Here is a 21,327-nt window from a genome sequence, read left to right as displayed (position 1 = left end):
ACATTTTTTAAGATAAACAGCTTATTTTTATTTTAGACAGAAAATCTGGAGCTAGGCTCAGGTTGCCCCCAGTTGCATGCTTTTCCCTTTTATACAATCCACTTGAAATCAACAAACAAATTTTATCAAGAGGTGGCGCAGTTACTCAGTGAAGTTTGTAGTAAATAACTGTCCCACCCCAGATTTTTGTAAAGGTGATTGGTGTTCCCAGAGAAATGAGGTTTGAAGGTTTTTAAAACAGGTTATCATTCATTGCTCCTTTTCTGAAATATATTAATGGTGCTTCCTTGTTGGACCTGACGACGCACTCCTTGAAAAAGATGCATAGAACTTGGTGTTTGAACAGTTTTAGCCCATTAATGGCCTGAGTGCATGTCCTGTTACTGTAAGTTACAAGTCTTCACTTCTTTTTGTTGTGAAAAGCCAGTGGATTTGTCCAGCTTATTTATATAAAACACTTCATGTGGCTACTATGGTGACTGTCTAAGGAGAGAGAGAGAGAAAGAGAGAGAGCTTTCTTCATCTGAAATAACTGAAGTTTGACTTCTCTAAGTGAATGTATATCACATAATTCCTATTTTTCTGAAAGATAACACCAGAGATTGGATTGGACAGCTGGTAAGCACCTTAGGCAGTAAAGTTAATGAAACACACACACTGAACTTCATGGATAGTGCTCACAGGAGGTGTAAGCTTAACGGAAAAATTGGGAGTCAGGATTTTAAGTCTTATATTGGCTATGCCTAGAGAATCTTCTCTGGGCCTCAGATTTTCTTCTGTAAAATGAGGACTGTGGATGAGATTATCTCTGAGGCACCTGCCAGCTCTAACAATCTCTGGTTATGTCTTTCATGAAGTCATTGAATGATAATATTATTGCCAGAGATTTATGTTTTTCTACTCAATATGATAGGTTACACTGTAGGGTTGGTTAAAAAATATATTGCCCATACTAAAGAGTAGCTTGTTGTTCCTTTGGAAACCCCGAAGAGATCTTAGAATTGTTGAAGGTTTGTGTGTTCATCACTGTCAGGAAGATGTATGTGAATGAATAGCACCAATAACTAAGGAGTTAGGTTCTCTCCCATACAACCTGCCACCCCTACCTCATGCTTTTATTCACTCTCCTAACTGCATTTACAGTAGCATCCTTGCAATGGCTACTGTTTAAAATCCATTCCCATGAACTTACAAGAATTACTTAGCGGTGCTAAATGATATTTAACAAAGGTGAATTATTTGTCAAGGGAAATTAAACACAAGCTAATAATCAAATAAGATAAGCCATTGGTGTAGAGAATGTTGTTGAATATGCATTCGACCCTTCAAGTTCATTTACAAACAAGTTTCTTTTATGCTGTTAGGTTTTCCCCTAACTTTCAAACCATATTGGAGGGAATTAAAATAATTTCAAGCACACACTTTTTTTTTTAAGGCTAAGGAAATACATTAGTTTAACTTTCTTTATGTTCTCTTCCTTTTGGTATTCGGATTTAACAAATTCACTTTATGAGAGAGATTCATGTCAATAGAGTGAAACACCTATGTCATGTGTGTTTGCAGACATCGTTTTTTGAAAAATAAATTAATGTTATGTGAAAATAAAATAATGCTTTTAGAGACTCTAACCCATCTTATTTTGCAAAGTATTTGAATAAGATAATTCTCAAATCCCTTTATAATGGGATCAATTATTATATTATAACCATACTTAACAGAAGGTTAATTATAGATGGGTTGACATAAGGATTCTATCTTATAATCTTAAATATGGAAAGAGTATTGGGACTTTCTACTGTAGCCTTCCTCCTAGTGAAGTTCTTCAACATTATCTGACAGATGACAACAGAAAATAATATGCAAAATTTACCTCACAGACAGGCTTAAGTTTCAAAGCTAAATTTTATACTTACTATTGATATGATTTATGTAAGTCTCAGTTTCTTCATATGTAAAGTGGCCACAGCAATAACTACTGCAGTATATATTACTATGTCATTGTGAGAAATAACAGTTAAATGAGATGCATGCAGTACTTACTATGTATAAATTCATCAAATGATTGTTGCTTATATGGCCTTAATTATTTTCATAGCTTCACTGAGGTGGGCTTATTACTTATAGGAGAAACTGCTCCCACTGTTATTAAGATAGTTCTCTTGATAAATTCTTCATCTTTATTAAGAAATCAATCATTACTTTTCCCAAAGTTATTTTTCTTTGCTCTATGCTGTTTATGTAAAATATAGGAACCATTTATATATTGATATGACATTCATAAAATGAAGTACATTTATGAAAATTAATTAACAAATTATACTATTATTCCATTTGATCAGCAAATATTTATTGACCACACTAGAAATTCTACACACTGGAGGCATAGCAATAAACTGCTCTTGTTCCCTTTGGTCTCAAATTTAAGTGATATGGCAGATGATTACATTTCTTACAATATTGATTTAAGAAAAAAATATAAAATAAGGATTTTCATTGAATCTTTTAGTAATTAAAATGGGATTTAAATAATTTTTGAAAAAATCATGGAGACACAGATTTCAATAAGGATACTTCAGAAACCTGCAGTCATTTCAAGATTACCTACTAAGTGTGAAAATAAGATTATTAGGATGAATATTTATTTCCTTTCCTGAAAGTTATTTACATGGCAAAGTCTAAAACCATTTTCATGGGTAGGCCAGACTGTCAGTTTCAAAAACACTAAAACTGTTTGCTCTAATTATCTCAGAATGGCTTCAAGGATGCTGAGTAATTTGAGCTTTCAAGCTAGACACTCAAAAGTTATCTTCTTTTGTCACTTAGCCATCTCCAGGGTCCGTCTTGTTGCATCCTGAGAGCTATTCAATTTAGTTAACTGACTATACGACTTATGACTGTAAACATGGAGTGTCTTTCCATGCTAGGCATTATGATGGGCATTAGAGATACAAACGTAAGTACAACACCATTTATTCCAGAAATTAATTCCAAGCCTATTGAGGAAGTAATTCCACTTCTTTTATTAAAATACAGATCACCTACAGTCCCATCTAACCTTAAGTTCTCATGAGAGAAACCAAAATAACCTTCTTCCAAAAAAAAAGATTTTCTATTATATCAGTTCCCCCCTACCTTTTTTTTTTTTTTTGCCCCTGTCCATATGCCATCATCACACCTACAAGGCTATTTATGGGAATGGGCTTGCCATGGGGAAGGAGGTCTTCTAAAAGGTTTTTTTCTTTGTCATAGTAGTTTTTATGTCATTATCAGAAAATAGGCATCAACTTTACCTTCACTTAACTGTTTTCTCCATCCACAAAGATCAAAGTATTGAATTTAATTTCAAGGGCCAGCCTATATAGTATTTCTCTTTCCTTTATCTTGTCTATAGCTGCATTGCAAAGGTCCACAGTCCATGTGTGTGTGTCTCCCTTCTTTTATTCCCCAATATTTCTAAGATAAAAATACATACAAACATAAAAGAATATTTGTTATTTGTCCTAATATTCTAAAAATACTTTATAAATTACAGTATTCTCTACAATTATTCCTTTGCTTTACTATTTTAATTAAAAGGAAGATGTAATTGAAATATGGCTTATGTTAAAAAAAATGCACAAGGGACCTGGATAGACACTTCTTCAAAGGAGACATTAAAATGGCCAGTGGGTACAAGGAGAGGTGCTCAACATCGTTAAGTATCAGGAAAATGAGAATCAAAACCACAGTGAGATATCATCTCATACTATTAAAATGGCTGTTATCAAAAAGACAAGAGGTAACCAGTGTTGTCAAGGGTATGGAGAAAAGGGAACCTATGTACACTGTTGGTGAGAATGTAAATTAGTGTGATAATTATGGAAAACAGTGTGAAGGTTTCTAAATGTATTACAAATAGAATTACCATATAACCTAGCAATCCCCTTTTAGATATATAACCAAAGGAAACGAAATTAGCATCTCACAGAGATATCTGCATTCTCATGTTCACTGCAACACTATTTTAAATAATTCATAATAGCCAAGATATGGAAACAACCTAAGTGTTCATTGACAAATAAATGGATGAAGAAATTGTGGCATGTATCTATTTTATAGAGATACATTTATATCTATTCTATAAATTAGAATATTATCCAACCTTTGAAAAGAAGGATAACCTTACATTTGCAATAACATGGATACACCTGGAGGACATTAAACTAAATGAAATAAACTGAAGATAGGAAAATGCTGCTGACCTCACTTATATGTGGAATGTAAAAAAAAAGTAGAACACATACAAACTCAGTAGAATGGTGGTTATGGGAGATTGGGAGGAAATTTGAAGATGTGGGTTGCAGGAAACAAAGTTGCGGTTATGTGGAATGAATAAACCTAGAGATCTCAGGTACAGTGTTTGGACTATAGTTAATATTGGATTGTATACCAGAAATTTGCTAAGAGAGTAGATTTTAGGTATTCTTACATACACACACACATACACACACACAGAGTGTAACACAGATAATGGGTATGTTAATTAGTTTGGCTGTAGTAACCATTTCACTATATCAAAACATTATGTTGTATATTTTGAATATTTACAGTTTTAAAAGAAACATGGCTAAAACTTGAGCACCTCTTTCTTTCTCATAATAGCAATTTGTTAATATAACAGCTCAACTGAACCACTGTGAAGCCCGTAGGACACATCAGGTATCTTCAATATTGTTTTTATATATTAAGATAGGGGAAAGTTTTTGAAAATGTTATAGAGTCCTGAAATTTTATTTTTTTCTGGTGAGTATTTGGACCTTTTGTAACTGCCCTAACCCTCAAAGGAAAGGAGTCATCTTCTAGAAAGCAACCTACCTTTCTTCTACAGGGTGACTCTCACAAAAGAGAGAATAGGGAGAGTAAGTGGAAGGTTAAAATGGAAGAAAATGGAAAAATAAAAAAGGGAGGGAATCAGAAGAAGAAAGGGATGAGTTCAAGGACTAAAACAGCAAAAGGAAGGGGTAAAATAATTTGGTTTTATTAAACATATATACAGTATCTTAGGTGTTTTACCAGTGTTATTTCTTCCAATCTCCGTAGTTACCAGGCAAACAGAAGAAGGAGCAGGGAAGGAAAGAAAATAGAACAGAATGATAGGAAGGGAAAGATGGGAAGGGAAAGTCTTGGGTGGGGCGGGGAGGCAGAGAGAGAGAGAGAGAGAGAGAGAGAAAGAGAGAGAGAGAGAGAGAGAGAAAGAGAAAGAGAAAGAGAAAGAGAAAGAAAGAGAAAGAGAAAGAGAAAGAGAAAGAGAAAGAGAAAGAGAGAGAAAGAGAAAGAGAAAGAGAAAGAGGAAATGGGTTGTGGGCTCCCAGCCTCCAGAGGGTGCTCTAACACTCACCCAATATCAGAGGGCCTGTCAGCACCTCCTTGGTGGACAGTTCCCTGGAACCTTCTGCCTTTCTCCACCTCTCCCAGACCCCTTTTTCCTGCCTAGACAGTCTCTGTGGCAGAGAAGTAGTTTTGTTTGCCCATTTGTTTATTTAAATGTGGCCAACTTTGTTGTAAAACATTAGTGGTAGCAGAGGAGCCATCAATTCATATATCATTATGCATATTTTTTGTCACTAGCAGGGTAGTTTCCCTTTACCTATTTTGAATATTGCCAAAGGTTGACCATTTTGGTATATGTTTTTTTTTTATTTTATAGTAACATGTGTTCATTGAAATATATTAGAAAAAAACAGAAATTCAAAAAACAAACTTTAGAAAATACTTTTTGTTTCAGAGGACTAGATGTAAAAACTTAATATTTTAGTGTGTATTTTCCTAGTTTCCCAGTACTATTTTGGTTTCCTTGGTTTATACATGACTTATTTTAAAAGTGTAGTTGTAATCATGTTGAGTCTGCATTTGAATAATTTAAATTTATATTAGGCTTTGTGAATGTATTTTAATTGCTGTATAACAGTTAACCATCCTTTTGATATTTTGGCTTTTTTCCCCTTAAATTTTCTACTATTAAAAATAAAATCAACATCTTGGGGAATAAGTCTCTTTTGGATTTAAAATTATTTCCTTTGGATAGGATAGAATAAGTAAAATTACTAAGTCAGATTTTAAAAAATAATTTAAGATGCTTGATGATGGGTATTTCTGCATTTATTTTAATCATAGTTATATAAATTTATATTGCTGCAAGCTACTTTATATGTCATCACATTCTTCATCTTTACTTTATGGATTTGTAAATAAGAGGTAGTCTAGTTTTTCTCCTGTGAATCGGGTTAAAACTCTGTTAGACTTTGAGTTAATAGGAGTCTCACGACTATATTGCTTTGTATCACCTCAAAAATACCTAATATGCAAAAAATCCAAGTGTTCAAAATTGGTACATTAAGGAGACAGCTATTTACATTGCCAAGACTTCAGTTTCTCTCTCAATACATACACACACTGACCTGCTACCAGTTGTCAGACAGTGTTTTCAGAAATGTCAACTCACTTAATCTTTACAGTGCCCCTTTGAGATGGGTATAGTAGTTACCCTGGTTACCCCAGTGTTACAGGTAGAGAAATTGGGGTGCAGGTGGTTTAAGTAATTTGCCCAAAGTCATATCACTCTTAAATAGCAGAGCCAAAATTTGAACCTAAGCAGGTTAGATTTGGAATATACACTCATTTCCAATATAATTTTGTACTCTTTCAAATAGCAGGATTCTATGCTTAAGTGCCTTTAAGCTATGAGTCAATTTGCAAAAATGTCATTTATGCACACCTGAATTTGAATGTAAGGTACACTGATGAGAGGAGTCAGTTTTATTGTACAAGAATTTCTTTTGAGAGGAGTTTGATCCAAACATCATTTCTCATAGTATTCACACTATCATTTTCTGCATGAGGTTATTAAATCACATGGATAGAATATGACTTACTCAAGGTCACACAGCAAGTTACACAGCCAAGGCTACAACTAGGTCTTCTAGTTTCGAACTCAATGTTATTCTTTCTACGTCATGACCTCTAACTCTGAACTAGAAGTTTTGGAAATCAAGGTGAGAAAAGAGAAACTGACAAGTTTTATCTGCAAGAAGTTGGAAAAATAACACCCTCCTTTCAGGACTGTTGTAAAAATTAAGTGATAGATCACATATCAAAACATTTAGCACAATGCCTGGTATGTGGTAACTATAAAATAAGTGGATTTTTTTTCTATTTTATTAAACTACTTTACATATTGCTGAGAAGATGTAGATTGCAGATAGAGTCAACTGGGTAGTATTAAATCAAACACTTTGAAATTCACCTATCAGTAAATTGGAGGTATTTTAACCTACCAACACGTTGTTGAAGGCTTCTAATGCTACAAAAAGAAGAATCTAGAAGTTTATATAATTCATACCAAAAACAAAAATCCTAGATTATACCTGACCCAGAAAGAGAAAATGAAAAATGAGCTAAGGAGTTAAACAGGTGCTGAATGTCCCAAACAAGCAGGCTGCATTGACCTTTTGACCCCCTTGACAATACATACTTGCCACTTCAAGGTCTTTTACAGTTTTTATTTTTAATTTTAGAAAATTTGAGAGAAAAACGTTGAATATAAAAAAATAAGGAGGGTTAACTTTTATGCCACCAATAAAGTATGTTCACAGAAAGGGAATATTGAATTGTACAATTCAGAATACTGAAAGAGCTCAGACTTTAAGAAGCCTTTTGCCTTGTACTCACTTATGGATATCCAGGGAAAGTTTTAAATAAAGTACATATGGTGAAATCATTCCCAGTATCTTTTGAATTAAATTACCCCTGGACTCTTATGGCATGTAATACTTAATAATTGTATCCTAATTGTAATATTCAATTGTAAATTCTGTTTGCTTATCCATTTGCCCGTGTAAACTGTAGGGATTTTAGGGGCAGGAGCCATATTATATTCATTTAGTATAATGCCTGGAAGATCCCTGAAATAAAGACTAGGCATTACTTAATGTGGTACCTTGATGTGGTGGTTAACTTTATGTGTCACCTTGACTGGCCAGACATTTGGTTAAATATCATTCTGGGTATATCTGAGAGATTGTTTCTGGATGAGATTAAATTGGTAGACCCAATAAAGCAGATTGTCCTCCCTAATGTGGGTGAGCCTCATCCAACCAGTTGAAGACCTGAATAGAACAAAAAGCCTGAGTAAGAGGGAGCTCCTCCTGCCTGCCTGCTTTGAGCTGATGCATTGATCTTTACTGGCCTTTGGACTTGAAGTGAAGCATTGGCTCTTTTTGGGTTTTGAGCCTGCTGGCTTTTGTGCTGGAACTTATATCATCAGCTTTCTCAGTTCTCAGGCCTTTAGACTAGAATTGGAACTGCATGTTGGCTCTCTGGGGTCTCCAGCTTGCTGACTGCTGACCTTGGGACAAAACCTCCGTGATAATGGGAACCAATTCATATGTGTGTGGGGGGTGGGGGAGGGGGTGGGGGAGGATAGCTAGATCGATCGATCTCTCTCTCTCTCTCTCTCTCTCTCTCTCTCTCTCTCTCTCTCTCTCTCTTACTGGTTCTGTTTCTTTGGAGAACCCTGAATAATGCAGCTAGTATCTGGGGTGAGATGCCTGGCTCTGTCATCACTAATTGGCCATTCTTGTCTAGTAAGGTACAGAGAAGCTGATAAATCATAAACGCAATCAGATCTCCATGCCATGGTGATCTTATTGAAATTAAAATAGTTTCCTCATAAGGTTATGGATTTACTTTATTGTAAGTCACAGATTATACTTCCAGAGACACCATAGTAGAAAACATTTAAATAGTAGAAAACATTTAAAACTACTTTAATGCTTTTTTCAGCTCTATATATATATATATATATATATCTATATATATATGAATGTACTTGTCAGACTTATGAACACATTATATATTTCAGTGATTATAAAGAACACAGTAATATTTTTTCCATATAAATTTAAATGATGGTGTCAGATAGAATAACAATAGCATCCTGAATGATGGCTTCTGGAAATCTTATAAATAAGGTAATATTTTTGAAACTTCCATTTGTGTGTGTGTATGTGTGTGTGTGTGTAATTCCTAATATAAAATACATAATTTTGATGGGGTTTCATGTATTATCTTTATTGAAGTTTTTTTCCAAATTCCTAAAGTAGTTTAAATTATTTAGTTTGATGAATGAGCACACTAAAAACAGTCATTATCTCTAAAATGCTGGTCCAGTGCACTGTAACAGCCTTAATATCCACATTATGGATTAAACCAGGCAGGGATTAATGATATCACTGCATCATATGGCAAATAATGATACTATCATATTATCAAATAATAATGATATTATTTTATAAGTTCTCAAATAAGATGGCAGCTACTCACATGTCAGTTGGCTTATTATCTAAGGGTAGGAGACTTCGATTTTTCTCTTGGAGCCATGTCTCAAGTATCCTCATTATGGTTTGGTGAAAATCTCCATTTGGAGAAATGTAGGTACACTTGTCCATTAATCAATTTCTAGTTCTCTCTTGAGCATATATATTATGTTTAACATTATAGTGGGCACCTCAGGTTAATGCTCAAATACGGTAAAATAGTTCCTGCCTTGGGGACCTTTCAGTTTTGCTGGTGAGCTAGTACTAAGAAATGTACATGGGAAAAACAACTCACAAAGCAGATTGGACTAACCCTTTTTGGGTGATCACCACCCACAGTGTTTTATTCTAAGGACTTGACATGAATTAATCTATATGCTATTCAAAATTAATCTATACGCTATTCATTTGGAAGTTATTAATTGCTATGTGACACTCTCTCTTCATAAGTACAACTAATATCAGATGAGGGCCCATACAGTAGTTTAAAAGTAGTCTCATACTTCAGTAAGTTGAAGGCCCTGCTCCAGATAATGAGAAGACAAGAGAACCAATGATGTCTTTAGGTATAGAGAAGGATTTTAGGAGTTAGTCAGAGTAAATCTCAGTTTTTTAAAGCCTTGTACTGTGTCAGAAAGGAAAAATAATTTGATTTTCTATTCAAGTCTACAATTGATCTCTATGGTCCAACACTTCTTGAGAAGTGTTGAAAGTAGTAGTGGGGCATTGAAGGTGTGCCTTCCCCTTGGATAGAAGTGGGAAAGGAGAAAGGGAGGAAGAGGGGGAGAGAATGTGAGATTATATATCCTATTCTACCCTCTGTACCAAGCAAAGATACTCTGTGTATGCTCTTGGGCAGGCAAACATAGATGTAAGAAGCAAGTCCTGAGGGTAGAGTTTGGCACTGCAAAGTATTGTGACTGAACCATTAGCTCTGTGACTTTGGGGAAGCTCTTTCACTTCTCTGAGCTCTAGTTTCTTCATCTATATGACATAGATAAGATATATTTAATGTGTTTGTTATACCAACCAAACAAGAAAGCAACAAATACAATGTCTCACATGTAGTAATCATTAAATAAATATTAGTTTTCTTTCTCTTACTCTCTCAGATGTAGTCCTTTCTCTTTTCACTTTTATTTGCATTAACATAGTATGAAATAACCTAGAAAGAAGCTTTTTCATGTTCATACCCAAGACTCAGGAGTGAGAAAGAAAAGAGTTAACTGTGTCAACCAGACCATATATTAACTGTATTCAATCTTCCTTCGCTGAGTATTCACCAAGTGCCATCACTTTGCTAGATAAGGTTTCATTTATCATCTCTAGCATATTATTAATATATCCTATTTTCTCCTATTTGAAGTAGTTGGCATAACCTTTCCCATCCCCATTATCTCACTTCAGAGTCTGATAGAGAATGCTCCCTTCCCTCACAGCAGCTTCCATGTGAGCACAGATTCAGTAATGTGTGTGTTATTATAGCTTTTGTTACCAGATGTATTGGTGCCTGATGGTATTCAACTAGACAACTTTTTTCCTAACATCTGCTGCCTGAGAAAATTTTGTTTTAAATATTAGTAAACTTTATTTTCTTTATTTAAAAGGCCAGATGACCATCCAAAAGAAATGCTCCTTGGGATTCTGCAGGCCTGCCTAATTCCTAAATACACCTTTTTTGAATTTTGTAAAATGAGACATTTTCTCTCTGTACTTGTGCATTGCCCTTTGCTGTAGCTATTTCCCCAACAAATTGCTATGGTTGGTCTCTCAAGCCAGAGGAAAGAAAAGGGTTTTATAATAAAAATGCTGACAGGTTCCTAGCTACAGCAGTATGAGTGGGGATGCTATGATCTCATTTATTGTAGAAACCGGATGCCTGTTTTGGCTGAAGGGAGAGCAAGCATCTTCCAGAGCTCTGGGGTTTAAAATTTTTATCTTGAAAAGTTTGCAAAGAAAAAAAAAATGTGGCTGTAGATAAATAGGAAACCCAGAATATGCAAACTGCACCTTTGTTCTTCCACTAGAAGTACTAAATTGAATTTCAAAAACGGTCTTAGAGAAAGTGGTCATAAGGTTTAAGAGACTAAAAATGGGGATTGTGTATTTGCTTGCTGTGTACAGAACTTATCTCTTTGTAATGATTTTATCTGGCAATTTAGAAAGTATTCTCAATCTTGGTCTCACTCATATTTTAAAATAATGTTTACTGTTATTATATAGAAAGCCTTCGTAAACTAGTTATCTTTTATCCCTTAATACAACATCTCTATGAGGTAGATATTTTTATAGACGAGAACACTAAGGCACATTAAGATGAAAATTCTCTTTACTAGTAAGGTTCAAACATCAGGCTGAAGACCATTTCTCCATAATATTTTTCAGATGATCAAAGAACTATTTGGGGGCTAGACTAGATGGCCCCAAATTAAAGTTCCTTTCATGTTTATACATAAATTTGGCTATACCTTGCCCAAAGTGACCAAGCCCAAAGTCGTGGCACTTGGGTTTAAGCCCAGGTTTCTGACTCTGAGCCCAGGGAAAGTCTCTATTTTTCTTGTTTGTCCCTCTTTGAGCATTTTCCGGGGACTGACCATGCTTCCAAAGCACTAAACCTATGTATTTCTGGGATGCTACCAAGAGCAAAGGGAGAAGCTGGTGCTTGCCCCACAGTTTTTATTTATATATTTGTATGATCAAAATGAGTGCATGTTACCTAGTCAAATCTTGAAAGCCAGAGTATACATAGTACAGAGGGCTCAGCTAATGCATACTCTCAGGTAAAATTCCATCTGTGCAATGAAGGCTGACAAATGTTTCAGATCATAAGGGCAGAAGTAGAGCTGAAGGACTTCAGATATTGGTCTCTTCTTTCCTCTGGCTTCTGACCTCTTTCAGCCAGCTCCTAGCTTGGGAATACAACCTATTGTACTCTTATAATGGATAAGAGTATGTAGTTAGGCCAGTTGAAGTCACTGCTGGCTTTCTGTTTTATTCTTTTCCATTCCACTTCAGAAGTCCAGGACCTGGATATTACCTTGATACTTCCAGTTAAATCAGTTTCACATACACCTCCATGTCAGTTATTTACACTTTTAGTGTCAAGCCAGGAAACTCAGCAAGAATTTGCATGTGCCCAAAACCCTGCTACTTCTCCTACAGAGGAGATTTGTAGAATCAAATATATCTGAATGAAAAAAATAAAAATCTTTATCTCTCTGTAAAGATAGCTTAGGTGGTAGATGTTCTGGGTTCTGGGGAGGCAGATAAAAATCACTTATAGATTTGATCTCAGATTAATCAGCATTCTACTAGTATTCAGACTCTAGGTGTTCGCTTGGGGAGCTATATTTGCTAGGTCTGGCCAATTTTTGGATGTTGCCAGACCCTCATTCATGTTTTTTCTTCCATTCTTTGGACTCAGGAAGATAACTTTCAGATTTTTCTGACCAGAAAGGATAATCTGAAATGTTTCATTTTGCACTGTCACAGCTAGGTGTTCTGCAATTTTGAATAAGCATTTGGCATTGGTGTACAAGTCTCCCTTAAATATAACTTTAGAGAAGAGGTCTATCTGGAAAACTCTAGACTTCCTTTACAGTTGTTAGGTTAACTTTTTGTATTTACGTTTAATTGACAATGTTTACTTAGTTTCTCTCTGAAGCAGTTTTGGAAAACTGTATAGCAACTTCAGCGCCAATGTAATGAAATTTGTAGCAAAGTAAGAGATAATGAATAGACTTAAATAGATTTATAGAAGTCCCTCCCTCCCTCCCTTCCTTCCTTTCTTCCTTTCTTCTTTCCTCCTGTCTCTGTTTTCTTGTTTATTTACTTGTTTTACTAGTTACAAGTCAAGATTACTTTCTTGCTTTCTGTCTGGAGAAGCAGATTTTCCAAAGTAAGTTTCATCAGTACCAGCGTGTTAATGTTCAGGACCTGATGTATTTCATAGATGATGGTTTTGAAGATCCTTATTACCTATCACAGACTCAGTTCCATTTAATCTAATTCTATGTTGAATTGTGTTCAATCAAGATGTTTCAATGTATCACTCAGAAAATATTAATGAGATCATTTATACAGTATGTCTAAAGTTGCTTAGTTTCAATTGAATAATCCTGACTTATTGAACAGTTTGAAATCTTTCCTTGTATATAATCTGGCTTTTCAGAGCCCCCAAAGCACTCTCTGTATAGTTGCTTTTGGCTCTGAATTGTGTTAGCACCTTGTGCTATTATTTAATCATTGCATATAAATATTCTACTTATTGCCAACAAGAACATTCGTTTGTTTAGCAAATACAGTATTGATCTTTTTCTAAACTTGCCTAGTGCCTTACAATGGTATGGACGCTATCCAAGGAGGGAAGCCATCAAGGAAATATTAATAGTATTCCTTCAGGACTCAATTTGTGTCATCTCTTCATGGAAGACATCCCTGGACTTTGTATCATCTCTGCTCACATGGAGTCATGGACTTCTTTCCTTCATATTGAACTCAAGTGTCACAAGGCTGTAAATATCATGAGGTGTCAGAGTCTGGGACTTAACATCCAGAACACCTAGCTACTGCTATAGTGCTTACAACATAAGTTCAATTTATTATGTTTGTTGAATGAATGGTTGATATAATCTATTGTTTAATTATTTAGGCAATTGAGACCTAGTGTTAATTTCAAAGAAGGACCTGTTGAATAATGACACCCATCATACTTCATTTTTAAGATATTTTTATCTGCATATAATTTCTACTGAACTCCACTTCATGACAGCAGAGGGAAAATGAGGTATTTGATAAATATATATTGAATGAACAAATAAATGAATCGCTTGGTCACCAAGACTGAGACCTAGAAGTTGGTTGATAAGTACTTGGTGAGGAATGAATGGATGCATGAATGTCTGTAAACATAATTCCCATAGTAACCTATATTTTGTGAGTTAGTTTAAATCCATCTTAAAATAATCGATAGTTTCATACCAGCTGGAAAGGATTTGTTTTGCTTTTATTGCTTATAAAATAAGCAGCTTTTGTCTCTCTGACATAGAATCCATGTATGGTCCAGTGTCTTCAATAGAACTGAATGATTTGCAATAGAACTGGTAAGAAGGGTTGGTCCTGTACTTTGTAGGATGAGGCCTGGTTCCAGTGCTGCCACAGGAACCTGTCAGCCATGTTGCTCTGGTCTTCTGGCTTTGTTAGACATGTAGGCATGAGATAGTCCAGGGGAAGGAAATCTCTGGAAAATTCCCCTATGTGTAGGGGGCTTCTCAGCACCATTGTCTTCTCCATCCCAACTACGTTAGAATTCCCAGTCCCTGTGTAAGTCTTTCTGAAGTAAGTCATTTATTTTCCATGTGTTAGTTAAACTACTTTGAATGCTTCATTCCCTTTAAGAAATCATTCTGGCCAACTAGGCAGAACTGCTAAAGACTGTTGCTAAGAGCAACCAGCTAAAAAGTTTGTTCTTAAATTAACTAGCAAGCCACCTCAAATCCTTTTCTAGAAATGAGTGTGCACATGTGTACATGCTCATGTGCCTACTTAAATTTAAAATATATATATAATATATATGTGTATATACATAATGTATATATATGTGTATATATACATAATGTGTATATATATGTGTGTGTGTGTGTATATATATATATGAATTAACTAGTTACTACCTGTAGATTCAACTTTAATCAGGGTTTCTGTCTAGAAGAACCAATCAAGAAGTGGGAAATGTCAGTGCTTTGTGAAAGTAACAAAATTAATGAATTAATTACTTAGGAAAAGCTCTGGTCAATAATGGTTAAGCCATTTGAATAGTAAAATTATTCATATTTTCATATTTTTAAACATTATATTGGTGTGAATTTGAGCCTACATGTAGAAAATTTAGGTTGTATACTCCATGAGGGCCAGGGCTATCTCTTATTTATGTATATCTTTACCTCTAATTTTCAGTATGATACCTCACACATAGTAGGTGCTTATTAATATTTGTTGTATACATGAAGGAATGACTGTCTAGATGGTAGTCCCATTATATTAATGAGAAATTAGGGGCCCAGAGTAATAAATAACGTCCCATAGTTTTATAGAGCTAAATGGGCTAAGCTGGTCTTCAAACTCAAGTCTGCCAAACTCTGAAAACTATACTCTGAAGTGAAATGTTGTTTCTTCTTTTAAATACTTTACAGAAGAACAAAACTTTGCAGAACTCAGATTTAGACTCCTTATAATTTAAGAATCAGCATCTGTGAACATAGAGTGTCATAGAGGTAGGGATGTGAGTTTGCAAATTCAACAGATCTGGATTAAAAACTCCTACCATTTATTAGCAGTAGGGATGTGGGAAAGATACTTAAACTTCCTGAAGACTTGTCTTCAAGTGCAAAATGAAAAGACTAGTGGCATATTAAAACACATATTGTAAGAATTAAATGAGATTATAAATTAAATATACAGGCAGTTAATATGATATATGCTAAGAAGTACTGGCTGCTGTTATTACTGTTATTTAAAACAGAGGAAAAAACAATATAATAATGTGCTATTCTGGGGAATGTATTACCCTAAAATACATATATAAATACACACACACACACACACACACACACACACGTGTATATATATATATATATATATATATATCTTCACTACATAGTTTTAGCATTATTTTCTAAGCTAAGAAGACACTAAAAATATTATCCAGGAGCTCTTATGGACATTTCTAGTCTAAAAAATGTATTTTTATTCTCTTATTTAACACTTTCACTGAGAATATCTTCAAAATTGAAGATTTGGCTAGTTTGCTTATGTTCATTGTTATCAAATTTACCTACCAAAATTTGTTTTTTCTCTTAACTCAAGCTCTTGAGACCCAAGTAACTAATCGTATGCTAATGTTTTGAGAAAACTATAGTTTAGTGTGGGGCATTTTGTGGACTTGAGCTTTATTTGTTTATCTCATAGAGGGTGTATTTGTGGTGGGCAACTGTGTGATCCTTGCAAACATGAATGGTAAATATTTGTTTTCTTCATTTGTTGAATCACTTTTTTTCAGCACCCACTGCTTATCTTGGTAGAAATCATCATCTTCATTATCCTATGGCTTTGTTCAAATCTAATCTGAGGAAAGAAAAGTTGATCATTTAGAGCAAGTCAGGGTCTCAGGGTTTTCTTCAGAGAAATTTAGTAAACCCTACTACAGTAGACACAATGGAAACCATGATTCATTTGTATGGTAGAACCTAACAGTCTTTCTTGTAAAGACAGCATATTCATTTTTTTGAAAGAAGGATGACTCAATTAATCTAAGCATAGGAACACTTCATTCATCTTGCATAATGAGAGTGTGGATTCTGCTTAAGCACATTTTTCTCTAATAAGGTAAGCCCCTTTTAAGTGTGTAAAACATTTTTTATTTTTAAGAATTTTTGGTGAAACTTTTTACAAGTATAAACTCCCTGTTTTGATAATACTATAAGGACAAAGTGATATCAGGCATGAAATCTCTGTAGGAAAAAGTTGATTCTCTCAATATGTAATTATTAGTTCATTTACTTTTTTATCTCGATAAGTAATTATTAATTCATTAGCTTTTTAACAAGTATTTATAGATCTTTTCATATGCCAGACACTGTGTAAGGTTCTGAGAAGGCAATGATGAAGAAAATAGATGTAGTCCCTCCTTCATGGAGTTTATAGTATAGTGGAAGAGACAGAAGACTTAAATAGATATACAATAACAGCTAGAAAGAAGGGAAAGACATGATAGGAGATCGTGTATATAAGGCCTGATTTAAACTGTGAGGTCAATAAAGGTTTCAATGCAGAAGTAATACTTGGAAAGGATGAGTTAGAATTAGAAAGGTCACAAAGAATGCCTAAAGGTGTTAAGAGTGAGAAGTGCTTTGAGACAGAGCAAAAGGAAATATTTGAGAGGATAATCAAGGCTTAGTGACTAATTAATGTGTAAGGAAGGGGAAAACAAAAGAATCAAAAGACCTTTTACATTTTAAGTCCAGAGGTCTGAAAGAATGATGTTCTGTCAACAGAACTAGGGAAATTAGAAGTAAGTGAAGAATTTGATTTTAAGTCCATTTGCACAGTAAGTTTGGGGTGATAGTGAACCATTCACATGGTTGATGAACCTGCCCAGTTGAAACACAGCACTAAGTACATTAGAGTAAAGCTGTAGCTACAGATTTGAGAGTCAACCACTGTTACTGCTGTCAGAATGCAGAACATGTAGCAAGAACCACAAGGTCAAAAATCCCAGCTTTGAGAGGTGCAGGGTAAAAGAAGTATAGCACAGAAGACCAAGAGGTTTAGTACCACAGGAATAAAGCAAGGCAAGTATCCCAAGGATCAGGGAGCTGATGTTATTGATGATTTATTTATTCGTTCATTTAGCAAATATATGTATTCAATACTATTTTCCAGGTTTGTGCTAGGCCTGTGGAAATGAACAAAGCAGTTATATGGCCCAGCAGAGGAGAGTAATTATTGAGAAAAACATGGGATTTGGTAATTCCATTAGAGTTCATAGGATGAAAACAAAATTGTGGATGACGATTTCGACAGAAAGGGGGAAACATAGAGACCACAGCTGAGTATGACTTGAGAAAACCTTTAGAGAAATAAAGAAGAAAAATAAGGTGTGATCTGGATACATCTGCAAAGACAAATGAAGGCACTGTTCGGGGCTTTAAGTAGAGCCACAGAAAGAAGACAATGAGGACACTGCAAGTTGGGCATGAAGGAAGCTGCCAAATATTAGGAATTATAAAACTGGGATTTCAGAATCAGTTCTGCTATGAGTACATCTTTTCTATTTTCAGGGACTCAGTTTACTTTTCAGTAAAAAGAAAAATAAAATGTGCCTGGGTTGGGGGAGCTCAAACACTTCCAAATTCCCTTTCAATTGTAACATTTTGGAAGTCTGAGAGAGTAGGGTATTGGCTTAAGGACACATGTCCCACAAGAAGTATCCAGGGTGAGAATGGGAGTACAGGACCTATCATGCATTCAGTATCTATTCTGAGCTAGGGGCTATGCTACATGCATTTTCCCTCAAAATAATTCCTAGAAGTAAAGGATAACTTGAATGAAGAAAGGCAGAAGTACCTACACTATCATGTCATAGTTCTCATGTTAAAGAATGGAAGTGTGACATTATAGAGATTAAGTGACTTATCCAGTCACCTGACAATGCATAGAAGGGCTGAGATTCAAATTCAGGTAGACATGAAACAGAAGAAATAGTCTTCTCTCTTGCTGGAATTGTGCAACGTTAAGATAACAGAAAAAAAAAATGTATTGGAAGTAAGAGAAATGGCTTGGGAACAGGTGCCTGTGAACAGGAGAAAAAGTCTAAGTCAACTGTGATTGGGAGTGGATCCAAGAGGAAGACAGGATGGTCTCATTGGAGTGGCTATTCCTAGACCTACAGTGTTCACCCAGCCGTGTGACTGGTCTTGTCTATGGCTTTCTGTTTTACATCCTGAAAGCCAGAATGGAAAGCAGAGACTGGAGACAATCCAGGATCAAGGACCGGTACATATGTCTTGGTGGAAGTTTAAGTGCTAGACTGGGGAATGATGGCAGGATGTCCCTCAGTGGCTCACTGCAAGTTCAAGGTTGGGCAAGAAGTCAGGGTAGCCAGAAACCAACTGATAGTGAGGATGTCTTTGCTTTTCCATGTTCAAGTTACGTTGTGTGTCCTCTATAATAATTAAAAGTGCAAACAAATGGAGGAGGATGTTAAAATAAGACAGACCAAGCTTGAAATCCAGACAACACTCCTACTCACTGAGTGATACTGAGCAAGCCGTCAAACCTCTCTCTGTTTTCTCCTCTGGAATGTAGGGCTATTTAGGCCAATATTCCAAATATGTGAGATGAAGGAATAATGTGACTTTTTAAATGTAATGTTACCATACAATGCCATTCTTGATGTTATGTTTGAATAAGATCTGATTTTGTAGAAATTTTTATTTCCTTGATATTTTGGTTAGCTATACTTGATCAGTTATTTTGTCACAGAATAATTTTATTCTGCAACTTCAACATCTTGTAGAAAGCGTTCTCAAAATGTCTCAATACACATCAATTTTTACATGCCCATGAAACTGAAGACTGCTTTTGTTGCTTGCTATTTTTGTTCATTTTTTTTTTGCACTTAGCATTCATTTATGTATTCTGAGGTTGGCTGAACTGGACACTCCTATTTGATTTCAGTGTACTCCAAATTATCTTGAGTAATTATTTTCTCTTGATGCTATAATTTATAAAATAAATATTATTGTTTTATACTGTACAAATAATGTCTTTAATGAACACTGTAAGGTTTCACCCAAGTTCTTCTTGCTGGGTTAGGAATTAATAGCAAAGAAAGTAAAGGAAGAAAAGTAGCATTTATTAACTACCTATTATATATAAGAGCTAACCCTAAGTGTTTAACAAAGCATATATCTCTAATACTCATATTGGCATATTAGGTAGTTATTAGCCCATTATACAGATGAATAAATAGTCTAAGATGAGTTTATTTTCTTCATGTCTTACTGCTAGGAAGTGGTACAGCCTACATTTGACCCAAAGTTGTTGAGACTCAGGTCATGCACTTTCCCAAACATAGCCTGTTTACTGCTTTCATGAGTGCATGAGGTTTGCCTTCTTGAATTCTGGAAGCTATCCTATATGAAGCTCTTTTTCCAATTACCTCAAAGCAAAAAGAGGTAGAAAAGAGTCCTTTAGAGTTGCATATACCAAACAAGAAAGAAAGCAGAGTCAGTACCCAGCCCATTAGGAAAACGAGGGAGACGAAGATAGTCAGAATGGAAGAGTTAGAAAGCAAGTTTTTTGAGTACTTTCCCTGTACCAGATTCTAAGCAAGACATCAGAGCTCTAGGTTAGGGCCAAATCAGGTGAGAATTCTTTTAGAATGTTGGAATAAGAACTCCAACAGTCATTTCTTACTTTGCTTGAGTTAGTCTAGGATTAGTCACTCTTCAGTGCATTTTGGTGACAGAATGCTCTTCCCCTCACCATACAGCTCATCCTGTTGTTGGACAAGTCTGAGGGCTTATTTAGAAGGGCTTTCTTTTATTAATATTAGTTAAATTAAAGCCAACAGTTATTATATTTAGCCTGTGCATCAGACACTTTAACGACATTATTTCTACTCTTTACCCTAGCTCTTCAAGTTAAGTAAATTTCTACACCACTAACATTTGGAGAAAATCAGGAACATGCCCAAGCACTTACAGTTAATAAGAATCAAATCCAGGTTTCTTTGACTCTTCCTTATGCAAAGCTGCCTGGCTACAAATTCTATCCATTTGCACTTTTCCAAGAAGAAATCCAGAATATAGATGTGTAGCTGAGGTCTGAAGAGACTTGGGGATTTTGAATACTGGGCAAAGACATTGGAAGGAAATGGAGCTCGAGAGTGGGGCACAGAGGGTAGTGATAAGCAAGCAGACAATTGTAATGGATCACAGACTATGGGATTTTATTCACCAGAAGATGACTGAAAATTCTGAGTTTTAAAAATAGCAACGCAGTGAAGATTGATGACTATTTCATACTATACATATGAAGAGATGAAATTTTATTTTTAAACATTTGAATAACAATGTATTTTCAGAACTACCTAAAATGTCCTGTAAGAATTCAACAGTGATGAATTGTGGCAGAAAAACAAAAAAAACGCAACAGTATATTCAGTTGACTTTTCATAAATTAACTGTGTCTTCATCTTTAAAGCAATGTATATGTAAAAGGATTCTTATATATGTCATTAATTTCAGGTATCTTATTTCTTACTTAGAAGAACGTTTAATTTTTTCAGATACACATCTTTGGATATATGCTATAAAAGAACAATTAAACTTAGAACGAAGTATATGCACTTATTACATATGATGAAGTAGACTCTAAAGTAAATTAGATTTTATGAATTGTATATTTTACA

General features: G+C 35.0%; 1 protein-coding gene across 34 annotated transcripts in view; it reads left to right on the top strand.

Annotated features, from left to right (window-relative positions):
* DLG2 (discs large MAGUK scaffold protein 2) overlaps positions 1-21,327 on the top strand; it is a 2,173,362-nt gene that overhangs the window by 908,518 nt on the left and 1,243,517 nt on the right. The window lies entirely within an intron of this gene.

The sequence above is a fragment of the Homo sapiens genome, chromosome 11 (assembly GCF_000001405.40).
Source record: "Homo sapiens chromosome 11, GRCh38.p14 Primary Assembly".
In the NCBI taxonomy this organism is placed as follows: Eukaryota; Metazoa; Chordata; class Mammalia; order Primates; family Hominidae; genus Homo; species Homo sapiens.
Note: the sequence above shows the minus strand (reverse complement) of the source record. Positions and strands in the feature narration are given on the sequence as shown.